This window comes from Homo sapiens, chromosome 6 (genome assembly GCF_000001405.40).
Source record: "Homo sapiens chromosome 6, GRCh38.p14 Primary Assembly".
In the NCBI taxonomy this organism is placed as follows: domain Eukaryota; kingdom Metazoa; phylum Chordata; class Mammalia; order Primates; family Hominidae; genus Homo; species Homo sapiens.
Window position 1 is genome coordinate 170,493,670 of NC_000006.12, and position 20,051 is coordinate 170,513,720.

General features: G+C 47.8%; 1 long non-coding RNA gene across 3 annotated transcripts in view, besides 3 other annotated features; it reads right to left on the bottom strand.

The window, feature by feature from the left end:
- The window catches only part of LOC105378157 (uncharacterized), a 28,344-nt gene extending 24,642 nt beyond the window's left edge, over window positions 1–3,702 (bottom strand). For all 3 annotated transcript variants that reach the window (XR_001744492.2, XR_001744493.2, XR_001744491.2), the window contains exon 1: window positions 3,591–3,702. This is a non-coding gene — a long non-coding RNA (uncharacterized LOC105378157). The remainder of the gene's footprint in view (window positions 1–3,590) is intronic.
- Window positions 3,953–4,783: an enhancer, noted in NCBI's record as "OCT4-NANOG-H3K27ac-H3K4me1 hESC enhancer chr6:170806710-170807540 (GRCh37/hg19 assembly coordinates)". NCBI's record gives its function as "activates a minimal SCP1, AML or CMV promoter by ChIP-STARR-seq in naive and primed H9 embryonic stem cells {active_cell/tissue: H9 hESC(naive and primed)}" and the evidence as "EXISTENCE:reporter gene assay evidence [ECO:0000049][PMID:30033119]".
- Window positions 14,222–15,421: an enhancer, noted in NCBI's record as "MED14-independent group 3 enhancer chr6:170816979-170818178 (GRCh37/hg19 assembly coordinates)". NCBI's record gives its function as "activates an origin of replication core promoter dependent on BRD2, BRD4, P300/CBP and CDK7 cofactors, and independent of MED14, by STARR-seq in HCT116 cells {active_cell/tissue: HCT116}" and the evidence as "EXISTENCE:reporter gene assay evidence [ECO:0000049][PMID:35650434]".
- Window positions 14,744–14,984: a silencer, noted in NCBI's record as "fragment chr6:170817501-170817741 (GRCh37/hg19 assembly coordinates)". NCBI's record gives its function as "represses an EF-1alpha promoter that drives an FKBP-Casp9 reporter gene in an ReSE screen in K562 erythroleukemia cells {active_cell/tissue: K562}" and the evidence as "EXISTENCE:reporter gene assay evidence [ECO:0000049][PMID:32094911]".

Here is a 20,051-nt window from a genome sequence, read left to right on the forward strand (position 1 = left end):
CCTGCCAGTCACCATGTCCTGCAGATCTGCCTCCTAAGCACCTCTCAATTCACCACTTTTCTCCACTATAACTCTCTTTTTAATATTTATGTATTTATTTATTTATTTTGAGACAGGGTCTCACTGTGTTTCCCAGGCTGGAGTGCAGTGGCGCCACCTTGGCTCACTGCAACCTCTGTTTCCCTGGTTCAAGCGATTATTCTGCCCCAGCCTCCCGAGTAGCTGAGATTACAGGTGCGTGCCAACACGCCTGGCTAATTTTTGTATTTTTAGTAGCCATGGGGCCTCGCCATGTTGGCCAGGCTGGTCTCGAACTCCTGACCTCATGATCCACCCGCCTCGGCCTCCTGAAGTGCTGGGATTACAGTGTGAGCCACCGCGCCCGGCCGCTTTTTTAGAACCCAGCCTTGGTTCTGACTTGGTATCTCTTCTTCCAGCTGAACTTGAACAACTGCTGGAATGATGGATCAAAATCACTAGTCTCACCACTCATCCCCCTGCTTGAAATGCTTGGTTGGCTTCCTGAAGCCTTCAGAATGAAGTCCAGGGCTCTCCATCTGCCCTCTCCTCATTCTCCTTTGCAAAATGTTACTGATCTTCCTACAGCTGGGGAGCTTCCAGCTGCCACAACAAGGCCACATGCACTGCTGAGCATAGAGGTTGCCAGACGGCTGTTCCTGCTCCTGCTCTTTTAGTCTCTCCTGCTGAGCCCTCAGATGCTGGTGTGCCCAGGTTCTTTATGGCTCTTCTCTCTTCCCCAGGAATTTCACCCAGACCCAAGCTTTAAATCTACAACAATTCAGCACCTAAATGGCTGTTTTCAGTCTATTAATCTGCCATTCACTTCCTCTTTCATTTATTAAATAAATCACCAAAGATTTATGGGGTTTCTTGCATACCAGGAAAGAAAGGGTAGGAAAAAAAGACCACATATAAAGTATTGAATAGTCTAATGAAGAGAACAGAACAATCACATAAGCAACAACAGAAAGACACTAAATGCCATAAGCAAGTTACATACAAGATCTGTGGAAGTTGGGAGAAGGCAGAAATTGTTTTATCGGTAGCATCAGGAAGGGTTTCTTGAAGAGGGAAGTTCATTCACTCAGCAGAAATTTATTGGACACCCACTATGTCCCAGGCACACAGGCATTTAGGAGGGACCCAAAAGGGTGAATCGAATTTTGACTGGGTTGGAGGAACTACAGAGGGGTGGTGAAAAGGAGGATGGGGTTGGAGGAATTACAGAGCGGTGGTGAAGAGGAGGATGGGGTTGGAGGAACTACAGAGCGGTGGTGAAAAGGAGGATGGGGTTGGAGGAATTACAGAGCAGTGGTGAAGAGGAGGATGGGGTTGGAGGAACTACAGAGCGGTGGTGAAGAGGATATGGGGTTGGAGGAACTACAGAGCGGTGGCGAAAAGGAGGATGGGGTTGGAGGAATTACAGAGCAGTGGTGAAGAGGAGGATGGGGTTGGAGGAACTACAGAGCGGTGGTGAAGAGGAGGATGGGGTTGGAGGAACTACAGAGTGGTGGTGAAGAGGATATGGGGTTGGAGGAACTACAGAGCGGTGGTGAAAAGGAGGATGGGGTTGGAGGAATTACAGAGCAGTGGTGAAGAGGAGGATGGGGTTGGAGGAACTACAGAGTGGTGGTGAAGAGGATATGGGGTTGGAGGAACTACAGAGCGGTGGCGAAAAGGAGGATGGGGTTGGAGGAATTACAGAGCGGTGGTGAAGAGGAGGATGGGGTTGGAGGAACTACAGAGCAGTGGTGAAGAGGAGGATGGGGTTGGAGGAACTACAGAGCGGTGGTGAAGAGGATGGGGTTGGAGGAACTACAGAGCGGTGGTAAAAATGAGGATGGGGTTGGAGGAACTACAGAGCGGTGGTGAAGAGGAGGATGGGGTTGGAGGAACTACAGAGCGGTGGTGAAGAGGAGGATGGGGTTGGAGGAACTACAGAGCGGTGGTGAAGAGGATGGGGTTGGAGGAACTACAGAGCGGTGGTAAAAATGAGGACGGGGTTGGAGGAACTACAGAGCGGTGGTGAAGAGGAGGATGGGGTTGGAGGAACTACAGAGCGGTGGTGAAGAGGAGGATGGGGTTGGAGGAACTACAGAGCGGTGGTGAAGAGGAGGATGGGGTTGGAGGAACTACAGAGGGGTCGTGAAAAGGAGGATGGGGTTGGAGGAACAACAGAGCGGTGGTAAAAATGAGGATGGGGTTGGAGGAACTACAGAGCGGTGGTGAAGAGGAGGACGGGGTTGGAGGAACTACAGAGAGGTGGTGAAGAGGAGGACGGGGTTGGAGGAACTACAGAGCGGTGGTGAAGAGGAGGATGGGGTTGGAGGAACTACAGAGCGGTGGTAAAAAGGAGGATGGGGTTGGAGGAACTACAGAGCGGTGGTGAAGAGGAGGATGGGGTTGGAGGAACTACATAGGGGTCGTGAAAAGGAGGATGGGGTTGGAGGAACTACAGAGCGGTGGTGAAGAGGAGGATGGGGTTGGAGGAACTACAGAGCGGTGGTGAAAAGGAGGACGGGGTTGGAGGAACTACAGAGCGGTGGTGAAGAGGAGGATGGGGTTGGAGGAACTACAGAGCGGTGGTGAAGAGGAGGACGGGGTTGGAGGAATTACAGAGCGGTGGTGAAGAGGAGGATGGGGTTGGAGGAACTACAGAGCGGTGGTGAAGAGGAGGACGGGGTTGGAGGAATTACAGAGCGGTGGTGAAAAGGAGGACGGGGTTGGAGGAACTACAGAGCGGTGGTAAAAATGAGGATGGGGTTGGAGGAACTACAGAGCGGTGGTGAAGAGGATGGGGTTGGAGGAACTACAGAGCGGTGGTGAAGAGGATGGGGTTGGAGGAACTACAGAGCGGTGGTGAAGAGGAGGACGGGGTTGGAGGAACTACAGAGCGGTGGTGAAGAGGAGGATGGGGTTGGAGGAACTACAGAGCGGTGGTGAAGAGGATGGGGTTGGAGGAACTACAGAGCGGTGGTGAAGAGGAGGACGGGGTTGGAGGAACTACAGAGCGGTGGTGAAAAGGAGGATGGGGTTGGAGGAACTACAGAGCGGTGGTGAAGAGGAGGATGGGGTTGGAGGAACTACAGAGCGGTGGTGAAAAGGAGGATGGGGTTGGAGGAACTACAGAGCGGTGGTGAAGAGGGGGACGGGGTTGGAGGAACTACAGAGCGGTGGTGAAAACGAGGATGGAGGGGCTGAGGGAATAGTAGGTAAGGCAGCCAGCAAAGTGAATTGGTTCTATCTTCTGACAACAGGGCCCTGGTTGTCCTCTCAGAAACTACTGCTTCCTCTTCACATAACTGGAGAAAGCTGACCTTTAGTCCCAGCTCCAGGACTGGGTCCTCAGTGGCTTAAGTCAATCAGCATTTCCCATCTTCCTGATCAGAGCCATTACTTCAGGGACAGGCTTGTAGCCCAGTTAGAATCAATGATGTTATAATACACAAGAGGCAAATACACAAGGCAAACCAGATAAATGAAGGAAAACTTGGATTCAGTGACTGGACCAAGTCTCGCCTGAAGTCGCTTTATTGTTTAAGCCATTTTTAGTTGGGTTTTTCTGTTACCTGTAACCTACAAAGTCCTGTAGACACAGTGAATCAAGATGTTGAGGCAGGAAAGCAGGGGAAGTCCAAGAAACTACAGGTTGTTCTAGAAGTTAAGCAACCAACAGGAGATAAATCTGCAAAGATAGATTTTTAAATCATTGTAATAACTCTTTAAATGTAATAATAGCAGCTATTATTTATAGTGACCACTTATTTCATGTTAGGTATTCTTTTAGGTTGTATATGTTAATTGATTTACTTGGTCCAATGAAATAGATGCTACCATTATCCCTCCTTTTTAACAGATGTGGAAACTGAGGCATTGGATAGATTGACTTATCCAAGGTGGCACAGTTACTGAATGACAAAGCCAAGATTCACATCCTGTCTGAACTCTTAAACATTATGCTGTTGTTTGTAGTTTTCAGTGAACTGTAAGAAGCTAAAAGCTGTAATCTTACAAGCTTTGGGGTCAGATTCAACTTCTTCCACTTTCTAGCTAGCATGACTTTGGAAAAGAATTTAACCTCTCTGAGTCCCAGGTTCTCCATCTATGTGACAAAACAGAGTTGCTGTCTGCAATGAAATAATGATGGAAAGAGCCCAGCACCACAGCGAGCACACAGCCAGGCTCCACTGCCTTCTCATGTTCCTGCCTCCTGCTGGGCCAACTCATTGTCCTGGATTCTGGGCCGGTTGGGTTAACATGAAGCTCCTTTCTTACCTTTGTTGACCTACAGTGGCTAACAAAACCCAGTTGCAGACCCGGGAGGAGCAAGAAGCACTTTCCTTTTATGTCTGCAGCCCTAAGTAATCCTCCTCCCAGAGTCTCCCAGAGAGGAGAGACTGTCAGCTGTGCCCCTCCCCTTAAGCCCACTGCTCTGTTTGGCTCTTGCTCATAGACATATGGCAGGGGCTTTGTCTTCAAATATGTCTGCTTTCAAGTTGAATACAACCATTGTCTGAGCCTGGGCCCTCCAGGAATTTACTGATGAGGGCAGGTTGATGACGGCACAGAATTTCAGTTGAAACTTTCCAGTTGGCTGGTTGTCAGCAGCTGAGATGGCCAGGGAGCTGACCTGGGCGAGATTCCCAAACTACCCCTCTTTTTTTTTTTTTTTTTTTTGAGATGGAGACTTGCTTTGTCGCCCAGGCTGGAGTACAGTGGCTGGATCTCTGCTCACTGCAACCTCCACCTCCTGGGTTCAAGAGATTCTCCTGCCTCAGCCTCCCAAGTAGCTGGACTACAGGTACGTGCCACCACACCTGGCTAATTTTTGTCTATTTAGTAGAGACAGGGTTTCGTCATTTTAGCCAGGCTGGTCTTGAACTCCTGACCTCAGGTGATCTGCCCACCTCGGCCTCCCAAAGTGCTGGGATTACAGGTGTGAGACACCACACCTGGCCTGAACTGCCCCTCTTGTGAGGAAGGTCCTGGACACTGTCCCCCACCTAGTCTGAAGACCCTCTTGGACATGTGGAGGCCCAGGGCATGGCTGTAAGGCTGGGGAGTGGAGTTGGGGTAGCCCACAGCTAACATGCGTGAACAGAATGAAGGGGGTAGCAAAGCAGGCAGGACCCACTGCATGGCTGCCCCAGGGCCTGAGTGACCAGGACACCCCAGGTGAAACAGAGTGGAATCTTGCTGCGGGCCTTCCTCTAACTTTTTGTTCTCGAATAGTCTTTGAGATTTATAGGGTAGTTGCAAAGATAGTACAGAGTTTCTATATATCCTCCACCCAGCTTCGCTAATGTCAAAATTCTGTGTAACCTTGGTACATGTACCAAAACTAAGAAATAACATTGGTTCTGTGAGTCCATAGATGGTAATTAATAAACAAATAAATACAATTAAAATAAATAAAAATTAGCATAGACACGTGTCAAAACTAAGAATGAACATTGGCATATGTATCAAAACCAAGAATGAACATTGGCACGTGTATGAAAACTAAGAGTTTATGTTGACATTTGTATCAAAACTAAGAATTAACATTAGCACATGTATCAAAACTAGCAGTTAACATTGGCACATCACCACTACTAAGCTCCAGACCATATTCAGATTTCACCCGTTCTTTTGCCCCAGGACACATCCAGGACCCTGTGCTGCATTTAGTTGTTATGCCTTCTCAGGTACTCTGGTCTGTGACAGTTCCTCAGTCTTTCCTTGAATATCCCGTGAATTGGGTTTGTCTGTTGTTTCCTCATGATTAGATTGAGGTTGTGGGCTTTGGGGAAGAATGTGAGCTGCCCTTCCCAGGATAGCAATGTGACTTGGGTGATGTTAGCCTTCATCTCCTGGTTGAGGTGGGTCTGCCAGGTTTCTCCACTGTAAGTAACTAGTTTTTCTATTTAACATTCTGTTCTAAAGCCACTAAATCCAGCCCACACTCAGGGTTGGCGTGGAGAGGGAGCGAGGAAGGACTCACATGTATTGTTTGGAGTGCAGAGGCTTTTGAAAGCAAAAGATGTCTGTTTTGGGTGCCCCAGCTCAGACCACTGCTTTAGAGAGAGTTTCCATGAGGCTTGGGGCCCTTCTGTGGGCTCACGTTTCTTCAGAACAGCTAATTCTGAACTTTGGCAATCCTGATTTGAGCACTGTAGTGCCACCGGAGAGCTAATGAGAGACAGACAGAGAAGGTATGGCACGTGGAGCCATCCCCTACCCTCCCCCGGAGGGCGTACCATAGTGTGAGTGGAAAAGCCTGTTCTCCAAAGCACCTTCCCTGCTGGGCCCGGCTAACACAGGCCCTCAGCCCACTCCAGATCCCTCCCTGCTGGCATTCCCTGAAATCTGTCCCTGACCGTCAACCCCTCAGGAAGGTGGCCCTTCCCTACAAGACCCAAAGACCCCTGCATGACACTTAAGGCCTTCCAGGAAGCCTCCTGGCCTGTAGGCCCTTGAGACCCCCACTGGACCCTCCCTTTCTGTCCTGTTTTGTTTTCTGACTAAGCTTATCTCTCAGTTGTGGAACTGCAGTGCTACCTGGGGTGGGATGAGGGTCCCAATGAGAGAAGGGTCTGAAAACCTTAACCACCCAGAGTGGGCTCTCTGGGGTGGGATGAGGGTCCCGATGAGAGAGGGGTCTGAAACCCTTAACCAGGAGTGTTTTCTTCTGGCCTCTTGGTATTATATTTGTCTCCTCAGTCACACCCCCCTGCCCCTGCTGTTTCTGAAACTCCCTGCCCCAGTGGTTCTAGTTCTGGTCTTGGATGACTCCCCACTGTCTGCTCACTGATGGAACCAGATGCCTCACTTTCTGCCTGTGGTTCCTGGTGTCGCTTTGTCTTCTCAGGCACTTCCATGACCAAATCAACAAGTCTCCCTCAAAAACCATGTGGTGTGAGCAGCTGAGGCTCAGAGACAAGAGATCACCTGTCCCATGTCACATGGCCATGTAGCCCCAATGCTTTTCTGCACAGGTAGGAGAGCTGGACCCATGCATTCACTCCACAAGCATTTACTGAACACTACTAAATGCCAGGCTCCCATCTACTAGATCAGAACAGAGAATGTCCGGCCCAAAAAGAACAAGCCCATGACCAAAAAGCAGGCATTGGCAAAGCAGAGTAGTACTGACCTCTCTGAGGAACCGTCATTTCCCAGAGCCAAAGGGAATGAGAGGCATGTCCCATGGCCATCAGGAGAGGGAAATGAGGGATATGTCCCACGGCCATCAGGAGAGGGAAATAAGGAGTATGTCCTGTAGCCATTAGGGGAAGAAAAAGAGGGGCATGCACTGCAGCCTTCAGGAAAAGGAAATGAGAGGCATGTCCTGCAGCCATCAGGGAAGAAAAAGAGGGGCATGCACTGCAGCCATCAGGGGAAGGAAATGAGAGGCGTGTCCTGCAGCCATCAGGGGAAGGAAATGAGAGGCGTGTCCTGCAGCCATCAGGGGAAGGAAATGAGGGACATGTCCCACAGCCATCAGGAGAGGGAAATGAGAAGTATGTCCTGCAGCCATCAGGAGAGGGAAATGAGGAGTATGTCTTGCAGCCACCAGGGGAAGGAAATGAGGGGCATGTCCCACGGCCATCAGGGGAAGGAAATGAGGGACATGTCCCATCCCAGAGCCAAAGGGAATGAGAGGCATGTCCCACAGACATCAGGGGAAGGAAATGAGGGACATGTCCCACAGCTATCAGGAGAGGGAAATGAGGAGTATGTCCTGCAGCCACCAGGGGAAGAAAAAGAGGGGCATGCACTGCAGCCATCAGGGGAAGGAAATGAGAGGCATGTCCTGCAGCCATCAGGGGAAGGAAATGAGGAACATGTCCTGTAGCCATCTGAGGAAGGAAATAAGAGACATGTCCTGCAGCCATCAGGGGAAGGAAATGAGGGCCATGTTCTGCAGCCATCAAGGGAACGAAATGAGGGATGTGTTCTGCAGCCATCGGGGGAAAGAAATGAGGGACATGTCCTGTACCCATCAGGGGAGGGAAATGAGAGGCATATCCCGCAACCATCAGGGGAAGGAAATGAGGGACGTGTTCTGCAGCCATCAGGGGAAGGAAATGAGGGACATGTTCTGCAGCCATCAAGGGAACGAAATGAGGGATGTGTTCTGCAGCCATCAGGGGAAAGAAATGAGGGACATGTCCTGTACCCATCAGGGGAGGGAAATGAGAGGCATATCACGCAACCATCAGGGGAAGGAAATGAGGGACGTGTTCTGCAGCCGTCAGGGGAAGGAGATGAGGGGCATGTCCCACAGCCATCAGGGAAAGGAAATGAGGGACATGTTCTGCAGCCATCAGGAGAAGGGACTGAGGAGCATGTCCTCCAGCTGTCAGGGGAAGGAAATAAGGGAACTGTCCTGCGGCCACCAGGGGAAGGAAATGAGGGACATGTTCTGCCACTGTCAGGGGATGAAAATGAGGGATATGTTCTGCAGCCATCAGGGGAAGGGAATGAGGGGCATGTCTCACAGCAGGGGAAGGAAAAAAGAGGCATGTCCCACAGCCATCAGGGGAAGGAAATGAGGGACATGTTCTGCAGCCATGTGGGGAAGGAAATGAGCGACATGTTCTGCCACCGCCAGGGGATGAAAATGAGGGACATGTTCTGCAGCCATCAGGGGAAGGGAATGAGGGGCATGTCCTACAGCCATCTGGGGAAGGAAATGAGGGACATGTTCTGCAGCCATCTGGGGAAGGAAAAGAGGGACATGTTCTGCCACCATCAGGGGATGAAAATGAGGGACATGTTCTGCAGCCATCAGGGGAAGGAAATGAGGAACATGTCCTGCAGCCATCAGGGGAAGGAAAGGAGGGGCATGTCCTGCAGCCATCAGGGGAAGGAAAGGAGGGACATGTTCTGCAGCCATCAGGGGATGAAAATGAGGGACACGTTCTGCAGCCATCAGGGGAAGGAAATGAGGGACATGTTCTGCAGCCATCAAGGGAAGGAAATGAGGAACATGTCCTGCAGCCATCAGGGGAAGGAAAGGAGGGGCATGTCCTGCAGCCATCAGGGGGAGGAAATGAGGGACATGTTGTGCAGCCATCAGGAGAAGGGAATGAGGGGCATGTTCTGCAGCCATCAGGGGGAGGAAATGAGGGACATGTTGTGCAGCCATCAGGAGAAGGGAATGAGGGGCATGTTCTGCAGCCATCAGGGGAAGGAAATGAGGAACATGTCCTGCAGCCATCAGGGGAAGGAAAGTAGGGGCATGTCCCGCAGCCATCAAGGAAAGGAAATAAGGGACATGTTCTGCAGCCATCAGGGGAAGGGAGTGAGGGGCATGTTCTGCAGCCATCAGGGGAAGGAAATGAGGAACATGTCCTGCAGCCATCAGGGGAAGGAAATGAGGGGCATGTCCCACAGCCATCAGGGGAAGGAAAGGAAGGGCATGTTCTGTAGCCATCAGGGAAAGGAAATGAGAGACATGTTCTGCAGCCATCAGGAGAAGGGAATGAGGGGCATGTTCTGCAGCCATGAGAGAAAGGAAATGAGGGGAATGTACTGCAGCTATCTGGGTAAAATAATAAGGGTCACATCTGGCAGCCATCTGGGGGAAAGGGATAGGATATGTCCTGCAGCCATCTGGGAAAAGGAATAAGAGGCATGTCCTGCAACCAACTTGGGATGGGAATGAGGAGTATATCCTGCAGCCATCGGGGAAGGGAATGAAGGTCACATCCTGAAGCCATCTGGGAAAGGGAATGAAGGGCATGCCCTGCAGCAATGAGGGGTACATCCTGCAGCCATTGGGGCATAGAAATGAGGGGGCATGTCCTGCACCCATTAAGGGAAGAGAATCAGTGGCATGTCCTGCTCCCACTAGGGGAAGGGAATGATGGGCACATCCTGCAGCCATCAGGGGAAGGGAATGATGGGCACATCCTGCAGCCATCAGGGGAAGGGAATGATGGGCATGTCCTGCAGCCATCAGGGGAAGGGAATGATGGGCATGTCCTGCACCCATCAGGGGAAGGGAATGATGGGCATGTCCTGCATCTATCATGAGAAGGGACTGATGGGCATGTCCTGCACCCATCAGGGGAAGGGAATGGTGGGCACATTCTGCCCTCATTAAGGCAAGGGAATGAGTGGCATGTCCTGCCTCCACTAGGGGAAAGGAACGATGGGCCCATCCTGCAGCCATCAGGAGAAGGGACTGACCGGTATGTCTTGCACCCATCAGGAAAAGGGAATGATGGGCACATTCTGCCCCCATTAAGGAAAGGGAATGAGTGGTATGTTCCACACCCATCAGGAAAAGGGAACGATGGGCCCATCCTGCAGCCATCAGGAGAAGGGACTGACTGGTATGTCTTGCACCCATCAGGAAAAGGGAATGATGGGCACATTCTGCCCCCATTAAGGAAAGGGAATGAGTGGTATGTTCCACACCCATCAGGGGAAGGGAATGAGGGGCATGTCCTGCAGCCTTCTGGGGAAGGGAATGTGGGTCACATCCTGCAGCCATCAGGGGAAGGGAATGAAGGGTACATCCTGCAGCTGTCTGGAGAAGGAAATTAAATGCAAGTCCTGCAGCCACCTGGGAAGGGGAGTTGGAATGAGTCCTAGGTCACCAAACAGCAGGCATCAAGCTTGTCCAGCTCCCCTCCAGTCTTCCAAGCAAGCCACAGAAGCTGGTGTCCCACAGGAAGCCACAGAAGCTGGTGTCCCACAGGCCTATGGAGTTTCCAGGGAGGACCTCTGCTGATCTAGAAGGTGGCTTCCTGCCTGCTGAGTGGGAAATCAAGGCTGCCCTTCTTGGTCAGGCTCTCTGAGCACATGCATCATTTACCAGAGCACCAGCGAAAAGCAGAGCAGGAGGCACGAGAGACCTGCAAGTGCTCTGGACAGGGAGTAAGATTTTCTTCTGATCTCATGAAGCTTAATGGAAAAGCAAACACTTGAAAATTATTTTCTAACCCACATACACCACAGCAAGGGAACACATTGGCTTCTACAAGTGTCTAGTTGGTGTGACTTCCTGAGATATGGTACCAACGTCGTAACTCACTGGAGAATATTCAGAGGCCCCCTGAAGGGAGGGAACAAGATCCTTTCTGCTCTTATGCTTAAACCTCTTCTCCCTCACCATCATTGCACTGTGTCTGTGAACATCTGATCACCAGGAAAATATGGCCCTGGATTAAGTCCCTAATGGTCAAATTCTTTAGGCAATTTTTCCCCTTTAAAATAATTAACTGTATTAAAGAATCTGAAAAACAGTAAACAGTTCTGGACATGTGGCCTGTGGAGGATGAAAGAAATGAAGGTTCCTTCTACTGGGGAGGCTTTTGGAGACTACCCTGAAATTGGAACACATCGAGTATCTGGAAGGAAGACCCTAAGGCTCCTGCATTTTGCATGTTGATGGCCGTTGTGTTATGACGTTTTTTTCTGCTCACTTCCTTTTGTTTCTGGAGGTTTGTGCACCCCTGTGGCCCTGGGATCAGTGAAGGAACAGATCTCTGGAGTTTCCAAGTTCTTTTCTAACCATCCTTAGCTTTATTGAGCTAGGGACACAAAAGGACAAGGCGATGGGAGCAGGAGCTCATCTGTGCACATTAACTTCTTGCCCAGTGAAGGCCCCAAAGCAAAGTTTAGCCCCACACTGATGTGAGGAAACCTAATTTCACCCACAAAGAGCCCATGGCCAGCTGACAGGTCAGGGAGGGTTTGTCTTGCTGTGCATGGAGGATCCTGCCAGAGGCGTCCGGCTGAGGTTGTCTCTCTTCAGTGACGTGATCAGACACCTAAGGATTCAGGGCAGGTGCCAAGCCCTGCTGCCCCAGTTGGCTGATGCCTGACGTCTTCACGATGACGCTGGCATGCGGCCAACAAGGAGCACTCGGGGACATAATTCATAAGAGAGCAGCATGCATCTATGTTGACAGAATCGGAGCACTCTGCTCTTCCCAGTCTCTTCAGGTTTAAAAGGGTCTCTCCCCATTAAAGTCTTATTTGAAGTCTAGACTTTAGTCTAAACTTATATATAAAGATTTTAAAGGTTTGTTTGAAGTATAGATAAAGTATAACTGTAAGCTCATGGGACCTGCTGCTGGAGAGTGGAATGGAATGGAGATTTCTCACAAATGAGAATCAGCTCTGGGTCAGAACTCCCACCATGGTAGCTTGAGCCCACTCTCTAGACTGACAGCAGCAGGAGGAGGCAATACTGGAAGAAAAAAAAGGGAGGAATGAGCTCCTCACTCGGTAGCAATACAACAATACTGAAGGTATTATTATTTGTACATCAATTGAAAAGAATAGGAAAAGGAGACTGACTAGTTGCTTAAATTCAATAGTTTTCTATGCTATGGCACACCAGAAAATATCCCAGATGAATTAAAAGACTCACTTTTTAAAACCTAGTGAAAACAGAGAATTATATTTTATTAGTATAGTTTGAAGAAAGCCTTCAACCTATACTAATAAAATATAGAAGAAACAAACCCAGGAGTAACAAAGGAAAATACTGGCAAACTTCATCACATACACACTTAAAACCACCCTATGAGAAAAGCCCACATAAATGAAGTTTCTTTTAAGGTGTCTACTTGAATAAAATATTTGCAAAGTATTTAAGAGGTTAAAAATTAATATGAATAATATATAAATGAATTATTCAAACTGACAAGAAAAAGACAACTCAACAGAAAAATGGGCAAAAAAAAAAACCACAGGCAATTCATAGAAGACAGACAAGATACAAATATATACACAAACATACACATACACATTTATTTTCCAACCTCCTCCTCAACTGTTAGTAAGGGGAAGGCAAGTTTGAGCAAAATAAACAAGTATGCTCATTACTTATAGTAGCTGTGTTTTGTAAAGTCACTGCTGTCAACTGAAGAATCACGAGGTTCATACATTTGGAGAGGAGAGCTTTATTTCTGACAAAGGATTGCACCCTGCAGGCTGGCCATCTTGCAGGCTAGGAAGCAGAAACCAAAAGCAGGCACTTTGAGGGCGGAAAGGCTGGAACAGGGATTTATGCCAAATGGGTTGGCTAAGTACATGTATCTAACAGGTTATTCATGATGGATGGATGCATGCATAGAGAGCAAACATGCATGCATGTCCGTCCACATTCAATCTGGGGTGAGCACTTAACGTTTAAATGCACTAAAATTAGGTCTGTATGTAGAAGATGAAATGGAGGGCGCAGAGGCATCCCGTGTGCAGCCACTGTACACCGGCCAGAAGCAGTCCACGGTCGGTGGTCTCTTATCAGGAAGGAATGCCGGTTCGTCACTGTGTCAAAACCACGGAAGGGGAGTCTGGCAAGTCTTTGGAAAGGGCTGTGGCTTCTGATTGACCCTCGCGTAAGGAAGTCTAATGGCGATTAGCGAGGGAGGGGGTATAACAAGGCGTGTCCAAACTCCCCATTCCATCATGGCCAGGAACTCAGCTTTTAAAATTTCTCTGGCGCCCCCTTGGCCAACAAGGAGTCCATTCAGTCAGCTCAGGGGCTTAGGATGTCATTTTTCTTTTTCAGCACGAACATTGAATTAGTGAACAGTGAACCATCGCTCATGGAGGAAAGACCGCGTTAGGTTCCCGTGAGCCTCAGGACACAGCATCACCCCATCAATATACAACCTTGTTTTATGTATGTTTCTGTTTAAAGACACCTTACTTAGTATATATTGTAGAGTAAGTAACATGACCAACGGCACTGTAACTCATGTCTGAATGAAGCTTATCTAATGCGTGTTTTCTCCGAAAGGCACCTCACAGCCTTCTTGCTCTCAGGAACGCTAAGCAGCACTTCCGCACTGTGCTTGAGGCTATTTTAAACAGTGAAATCACCAACAAAAAGCATAAAAATGCGGCGAAAAAAGTGGCACTAAATAAACTGTGAATGTAGTCCCAGCTACAAGGGAGGCTGAGGGTTCATGCCGGGAGGCGGAGCTTGCGGTGAGGCAAGACTGCGCCACTGCACTCTGGCCTGGGCCAAAGAGCGAGACTCCGTCTCAAAAAATAAAATAAAATAAAAAATAAAAAATAAACTGTGAAAAGAAAACAGTTGCTTACAGTATGAGTTAAAACCAGAAGGCCGAGCATCACCTCATTCAGCTGGGAGCATGTGCACTGAAGACAAACTTTCGCCTCATTCAGCTGGGAGCATGTGCACTGAAGACAAACTTTCACTCATTCAGCTGGAAGCATGTGCTCTGAAGACAAACTTTCACTCATTCAACTGGAAGCATGTGCACTGAAGACAAACTTTCACCTCATTCATCTTGGAGCATGTGCACTGGAGATAAACTTTCACTCATTCAGCTGGAAGCATGTGCTCTGAAGACAAACTTTCCCCTCATTCAGCTGGGAGCATGTGCACTGAAGACAAACTTTCACTCATTCAGCTGGAAGCATGTGCACTGAAGACAAACTTTCACTCATTCAGCTGGGAGCATGTGCTCTGAAGACAAACTTTCGCCTCATTCATCTGGGAACATGTGCACTGAAGACAAACTTTCACTCATTCAGCTGGGAGCATGTGCTCTGAAGACAAACTTTCACTCATTCAGCTGGAAGCATGTGCACTGAAGACAAACTTTCGCCTCATTCATCTGGGAGCATGTGCACTGAAGACAAACTTTCACTCATTCAGCTGGGAGCATGTGCTCTGAAGACAAACTTTCACTCATTCAGCTGGAAGCATGTGCTCTGAAGACAAACTTTCACTCATTCAGCTGGAAGCATGTGCTCTGAAGACAAACTCACTCATTCAGCTGGAAGCATGTGCTCTGAAGACAAACTTTCACTCATTCAGCTGGAAGCATGTGCTCTGAAGACAAACTTTCACTCATTCAGCTGGAAGCATGTGCTCTGAAGACAAACTTTCCCCTCATTCAGCTGGGAGCATGTGCACTGAAGACAAACTTTCACTCATTCAGCTGGGAGCATGTGCACTGAAGACAAACTTTCACTCATTCAGCTGGGAGCATGTGCACTGAAGACAAACTTTCGCCTCATTCATCTGGGAGCATGTGCACTGAAGACAAACTTTCACTCATTCAGCTGGGAGCATGTGCTCTGAAGACAAACTTTCACTCATTCAGCTGGAAGCATGTGCACTGAAGACAAACTTTCGCCTCATTCATCTGGGAGCATGTGCACTGAAGACAAACTTTCACTCATTCAGCTGGAAGCATGTGCTCTGAAGACAAACTTTCACTCATTCAGCTGGAAGCATGTGCTCTGAAGACAAACTTTCACTCATTCAGCTGGAAGCATGTGCACTGAAGACAAACTTTCACTCATTCAGCTGGAAGCATGTGCTCTGAAGACAAACTTTCGCCTCATTCATCTGGGAGCATGTGCTCTGAAGACAAACTTTCGCCTCATTCATCTGGGAGCATGTGCTCTGAAGACAAACTTTCGCCTCATTCAGCTGGGAGCATGTGCACTGAAGACAAACTTTCACTCATTCAGCTGGGAGCATGTGCACTGAAGACAAACTTTCACTCATTCAGCTGGGAGCATGTGCTCTGAAGACAAACTTTTACTCATTCAGCTGGAAGCATGTGCACTGAAGACAAACTTTCACCTCATTCATCTTGGAGCATGTGCACTGAAGACAAACTTTCACTCATTCAGCTGGAAGCATGTGCACTGAAGACAAACTTTCACCTCATTCAGCTGGAAGCATGTGCTCTGAAGACAAACTTTCACTCATTCATCTGGGAGCATGTGCACTGAAGACAAACTTTCGCCTCATTCAGCTGGGAGCATGTGCACTGAAGACAAACTTTCACTCATTCAGCTGGAAGCATGTGCTCTGAAGACAAACTTTCACTCATTCAGCTGGAAGCATGTGCTCTGAAGACAAACTTTCACCTCATTCATCTTGGAGCATGTGCTCTGAAGACAAACTTTCGCCTCATTCAGCTGGAAGCATGTGCTCTGAAGACAAACTTTCACTCATTCAGCTGGAAGCATGTGCTCTGAAGACAAACTTTCACCTCATTCATCTTGGAGCATGTGCTCTGAAGACAAACTTTCGCCTCATTCAGCTGGAAGCATGTGCTCTGAAGACAAACTTTCACCTCATGCAGCTGGGGGCATGTGCTCTGAAGACACAAACTTTTCACTTCTCTGTGCACTTGAGAGGGTTGATTTGAGGGTTACCAATAAATGTTGGTGAGTAGGTAGATTCACAAATAAGAAATCCATGAATAATGAGGGTCAACTAGAGAGAGAGGGAAAGACCTCGCGTGTGGAGAGAAAAAAAATGTGAATATTTGCACCCCAAAGCTTGCCCAGTAGAAGCTGTCAGCCCTTTACTGCGCTTCTCCCTTACATCATGTTTGTTTCAAGCACTGGGGCAGAAACACTGAGACCACGTTGCTGCCTCAGAGGGTTTATTATAATGGAGGAGTCAGATTATACTCAAGTGAACAAATAATTACAGGTTGTGCTTTTTCTAGAACAAAATAATCAGGTTGCTCTGAAAAAGAATACTCAGGCTAGCTGAGAGAGATGTAACCTGTGCTGGAGAACTGAGGGAAGCCGTTGCCAACAGTGTGGAGAAGGGAGAGGGGGCCAGGCTGCCAGCAGCCTGTGGCACGGTGGCTGGAGAAGCCAGCTATGGGCCTATTTGGTTCTGGGGAGAGTAGTGGGGCTGTATGTGAGTGGTTAGTGGAATTTTCACTCTTTATATAACTGTGGGGTATTTTTAATGAAAATATTAATATATTTACATTGCAGAGTATAAATGAAAATATTTAAAATAACAAAGCAAAGCATTTTCCAGTTTCTTTAAGGGTGGCCTCGTGGTCCTTATTGACATAATAGGGAGAGCTTGTTAGCTGTCCATCTCTCATCTGGACACCACAGCAGCCTCTGTACCATTATCACTCTTACTAGCACTATCCTGGACCACTCCCCACAGCAACCAGGATAACAGCTGGCTGTGTGGCTCCTTTCTCTGACTGTCTTGTGGTCTTGAGATAAAAGGTCATCATCTGTCACATGCTCCCCAAGGCCCAAAAGGAGCTGCCTCTGCAAGCCTTCCCCACTCACTGCGCGTTCACGCCGTGGGAGCTGCACGCGCTCACTCTGCTCCGCTGCGCGTTCACGCCGTGTGAGCTGCGGGCGCTCCCTCTGCTCTGCTGCGCGTTCACGCCGTGTGAGCTGCGTGTGCTCACTCTGCCCTGCTGCATGCGTGGCTTTCTCTGCTCTGCATTCTTGTCTGGCACCCTCTCCTGGGGGCCCCTTCCCTGTCACTTCTCCTGCTCTTCCCAAAGCAGTCAACGGAAAATTGACTATTTATACACAAGTGCCCAGTTACAGATTGGTGTAAGCCTTTGATCCATCTTAATCAGCAGCCATAAAAAAGAATGAAATCACATCCTTTGCAACAACATGGATGCAGCTGGAGGCCACTATGCTAAGTGAACTAACTCAGAAAGAGAAAATCAAACACTGCTTGTTCTTGATTATAAATGGGAGCTAACAACAATGGGTACACATGGACATAGAGATGGAAATAATAGACACTGGGAGCTCCAAAAGTTGGGAGGTTGGGAGGGGAGTGAGTGTTGAAAAATTAGCTGTCAGTTACAATGTTCACTATTTGGGTAATGGGCACACTACAAGCCCTGTGCCCGCCAGCATGCAGTATACCCATGTGACAAACATGCACATGTTCCTCAATCTAAAATAAAACCAATGCAAATGCACGCCGACATGTGATTGACTAACTTATTCTACTAGACTGTGGGCTATATCACTTGAGGTCTGTCATTTGTACTGTGGGGTTTACATCAATGATAGAATCTTTAACTTTCTAGTTCAACACTTTTACCAAAGCAACATACTTTCACAAGTTTGACAGTCTCAAATTATTGCCAAAATTTTGCCACCCAGACTCGGATTTCAGAATATGTCTGAATTCATACATTCATTACCAAAATTGTAGATATATATTAACATCATGGGAAACTGAGAAAAATTATAGCTCAGTCATTTCCTCTTGAAACTAAGCTTTACAAAAAGAGAAAAATTTGAGTTCAAATCTAATCTAAAATTTGAATTCAAATGGCAGCTGGCAAAAATCGAGTTTTCTTAGCTCTAAGAATCTCTTCTTATACTACGACTACAATGCTTGAAATGTGCAACCTCTTTGAGCTGGGGCAGTCTGGCTATGGAGACAGGGCAGTCTCCACTCTACCTGTCCCGAACACTGGATCATGTGCGGCCTCATCACCTGCATTCTGATGGCCAGTGAGCATCACTCTCATTTTCCTGCAGGTGCGGTGGGGGTTGTGGGTACTTCGCATCCTCAGTAAGAGAAGACCATGTATGAACTATGAAGCCAATGATCATTGAGACCTCCAATACCTTTCATTCTAAAAAGTCCTTAAGAAGGTGGGATCAGTTAGGCAAGAAAATACCGCCACAACACAAAAGTTTAGACGTGTGAAACAGTGAAGGAACTTGAGTGTTAGAGTTACAAATAGTTTGTTAAGAATATTTATTGAATGCCTATTATACACTTGATACTATGTAGATGCTGGGAATACACTGATATATGGAACACATAGTTTCTTCCCACATGGAATTTATCATCTATTGTCCGAGAGAGATCAAGGAAATTAAAAACTAATAAAAATGCAAATGGAGTAATGTTATAAAGGAGACAAACAGGCTAGGCCACAGTGAACAATGGAGTATGGAACCTATTTCTTCTTAAAAGGAGGACTAGGAAGGTTGCTCTTTGGAGGCGCAACAAGTACTGACAGGTGAGAATGAGGAGCCATGCATGAATGAGCATGCAAGGTTGACACACCAAACTGGCCAAAGCCACTGAGAGAAAATAACTCTATAGGTTCAAGGGAAAAAATGAGGTCAGGGGAGCTGGAGGACGGTGGTCAGTGGGAGAGGGGCATGAAATGAGGGAGGAGAGGCGGCTGAGGGGGAAACACACACAGAGACCACACATGCATTAACTACCTGCAGGAGGGACACACACACACACGCAAAAACCACATATGGATGATTCACCTGGAGGGGATGCACACACAGAGACCACATGTGGATGAGCCATGTGGAGGGTACACACACACACAGGGGCCGCACATGGACAACCCATGTGGATGAGCAACACAACACAATGGAGAAATTGGTATGATTCCATATGCTTTAAGAAGGTCATTCTGGCTGTTTGGTGAGATTGGTGGGGGAATAGCTAGATAAATTAGTGCAGTGGCTATCCGAATGGCCCAGACCTGTGCAGATGATAAGTTAAATGATGGTTACTGAAGACGACAAGATGTGGTTGAGTCTGAGATATGTATGGTAGGTAGAACTGACAAGATCTGTACTGGACTAGATGTAAGGAATGAAAGGAAAGCCATTCAGGTCTATAGTGTGAGCAACTGATGAAAGGGCACATGAAGAAGACTCCTGGATGAACAGATTGTAGGAAAAGCTGGATACCAACATTCACTTTGGGACATGTTTCTATTGGAGAATCTCAGTAGTGATGTTATAGTCATTGAATATTTTAGTCTAGGATTCAAAGGATAGGTTTAGTCCAGAAATATAAATTTAGGACTGATCAGCATATAGATGACATTTAGTATCATGGGGCTGGTTGAAAAGCTAGGGAGAGAGTGGAAGGAGACTGAGCCTTGAGAAATGGCCACAACTAGAAGTTGGCTAGAGAAAAAGAAAGTGTACAGAAAACTGAGTAGCAGCTAATGAAACGGGAGAAAACTTCAGAGAATGTGGCATCACCAAAGCTAAGAGAATAGACTGTTTCAATCAAGAGAATTATCATGCTATTTGGCCACAAGGAGATCACTTGTACCTTGACAAGATCATTTTAGTGTAGTGGGGACAAAAGCCAGATCAGAAAGCAGGAAAGGATGGAAAGAAGTGGGATCAGCATTTATAGACAACATTTATGAGAGGTTTGACTATGAAAAGAATTAGCTAGAGGGTACAATAGCTAGAGGGTAATTAGGGAACAAGGGAGGCTCTCTTATTTCTTTATA